We start from the raw sequence: 2,658 nt of genomic DNA on the forward strand, positions 1-2,658 counted from the left end.
ATGCTGTGTGGAATACCATGATGGTGAATAAGGCATTCCATGAGCCCATGGATGGTAGTCTTGGTAGAAGCATTGCTTGCAGGATAGGCAAACCCATATCTGGAGTAAGTATCTATTCCAGTGAGGTCAAACCACTTCCCTTTCCATGATGGAAGAAGTCCAATATAATCAACCTGCCACCAGGTAGCTGGCTGATCACCCCAATGAATGGTGCCATATTGAGGGCTCAGTGTTGGTCTCTGCCACTGGCAAATTGGGCACTCAGCTGCGGCCATAGCCAGGTCAGCCTTGGTGAGTGGAAGTCCATGTTGCTGAGCCCATGAGTAACCTCCATCCTGCCACCATGGCCACTTTTTTGACAGGCCTATTGGGTGATGACAGGGGTACTGAGGAAAGAGGCTGACTGCTGTCCACAGAACGGGTCATCGTATCTATTTGATTATTAAAATTCTCCTCTGCTGAGGTCATCTATAGGTGAGCACTCACACAGGATATAAATGTCTTCACAGTTTTCGACCACTCAGAGAGGTCCATCCACATACATCTTCCCCAAATTTATTTGTCACTAATTTTCCAATCATGCTTCCTTCAAGTCCCTGACCATCCAGCCAAACCATTGGCTACAGCCCATGAATCAGTATATAATCACACATCTGGCCCTTTCTCCTTCCATGCAAGGTACACAACCAGGTGCACTGCTTAAAGTTCTGCCCACTGGGAAGACTTCCTCTCACCACTGTCCTTCAAGGATGTCTTAGAAAGGGGCTGTAGTGCTGCAGCTGTCCACTTTCAGGTGGTGCCCACATATCATGCAAAACCATGTGTGAACCAGGCCCTAGTCTTCTCTTCCTTTGTCAACTGATCATGGGCAACAACCTATGAGGCCATCAGTGCAGGGTGGGAGAGAGAAGGCAGGGTGGCTGGAGTGGAGACCATGGGCATTTGAGCCACTTTCCTTATGTAACTTACTTGTTGCCTTCAGGACCTACTTGAGCCTGATCACGTATATATACCACTTCCATTTGATGATGGAATGCTGCTGTGCACTACCCATTTTATGGCTAAACGGGTCAGAAAGCACCCAGTTCACGATAGGCAGTTCAGCTCTCATGGTGACTTCATGACCCATAGTCAAATGTTCAGTTTCCACCAAAACCCAGTAACAGGCCAAGAGCTGTCTCTCAAAAGGAGAGTGGTTATCTGCAGGAGACGGCAGGGCCTTGATCCTAAATCCTAGAGGCCTTCACTGTGATTCACCTATGGGGGCCTGCCAAAGGCTCCAAACAGTATCCCTATCTGCCACTGACACCTCAAGCACGATTGTATCTGCTGGGTCATATGGCCCAAGTGGCAGAGCAACTTGCACAGCAGCCTGAACCAGTTACAGAGCCTTCTCCTGTTCTGGACCCCACTCCTGGTATCAAAATCTGTATTAGTCAGGGTTCTCTAGAGGAACAGAACGAGAGAATAGGTGTATATATAAAGGGGAGTTTATTAGGTAGTAATAACTCACACAATCACAACCTCCCACAATAGGTCATCTGCAAGCTGAGGAGCAAGGAAGCCAGCCTGAGTCCCAAAGCTGAAGAAATTGGAGTCCAATGTTCAAGGGCAGGAAGCATTCAGCACAGGAGAAATATATGTGCTGGAAGGCTAAACCAGTCTAGCCTTTTTATGTTTTTCTGCCTGCTTTATATCCTGGCTAAACTGACAGCTGATTAGATGGTGTCCACCCAAATTAAGGGTGGGTCTGCCTTTCCCAACCCACTGCCTCAAATGTTAATCTCCTTTGGCAGCACCATCATAGACACACCCAGGATCAATACTTTGCATCCTTCAGTCCAGTCAAGTTGATACTCTGTATTAATCATCACAGTATGTCTAAGAATGTGTCTTCATTCATTGTGCTGGGAACTCAGTGCAGTCTTTAATTGCAAGTTAAAATCACCTTGGATTTTTTATTTGCTAATTTTGTCTACATCATTTTCTTTGTCATCTCTTTGTGGAATTCTTGGTAGCTTATTTTCGTCTCTTAGATTATGCATTTTAAATATTTTCTACTTTCTGTTTAATTTATTTATGTCTTCCAAAGTGTCTACCAAATTGTTTTCTAGCAATATTTTAGCACCATCAGGATTCAGTACCTTGGACAGTTCTCTGGGTGACGATGTAATTCAGGGCACCAATTAGCATGCTGAGGGCCACAGACATCAAACCAGAGTGAGAGAGGAGAGAGAGTTTGAGTGGAAAAAAAAATAATTGTTTGTGAGATCAGAAGACAATCTCAAGAACTTTCAAATAACCATGAGATATGGGGTAAAGCAGAAATTCTAATTTGATGGGCATCTATTATCTATCCAGCACTGTTTTCTAGGATTTCTCCACCAGCATCTCTGCTCCACTACACAAACATACACACACACACTCCCCAACATGACTGATACAGTTTGGCTGTGTCTTCACTGAAATCTCAACTTGAATTGTATCTCCCAGAATTCCCACATGTTGTAGGAGGGACCCAGGAAGAGGTAATTGAATCATGGGGCCTGGTCTTTCCCATGCTATTCTCGTGATAGTGAATAAGTTTCACGAGATCTGATGGGTTTATCAGGGGTTGTCGCTTTTGCTTCTTCCTCATTTTTCTCTTGGCACCACCAT

The 2,658-nt window shown here is 44.9% G+C and overlaps 1 annotated feature.

Moving 5' to 3' along the window:
* Positions 2,054–2,254: a silencer, noted in NCBI's record as "peak4348 fragment used in MPRA reporter construct". NCBI's record gives its function as "represses an SCP1 promoter by STARR-seq MPRAs in K562 erythroleukemia cells {active_cell/tissue: K562}" and the evidence as "EXISTENCE:reporter gene assay evidence [ECO:0000049][PMID:32103011]".

The sequence above is a fragment of the Homo sapiens genome, chromosome 21 (genome assembly GCF_000001405.40).
Source record: "Homo sapiens chromosome 21, GRCh38.p14 Primary Assembly".
Classification (NCBI taxonomy): Eukaryota; Metazoa; Chordata; class Mammalia; order Primates; family Hominidae; genus Homo; species Homo sapiens.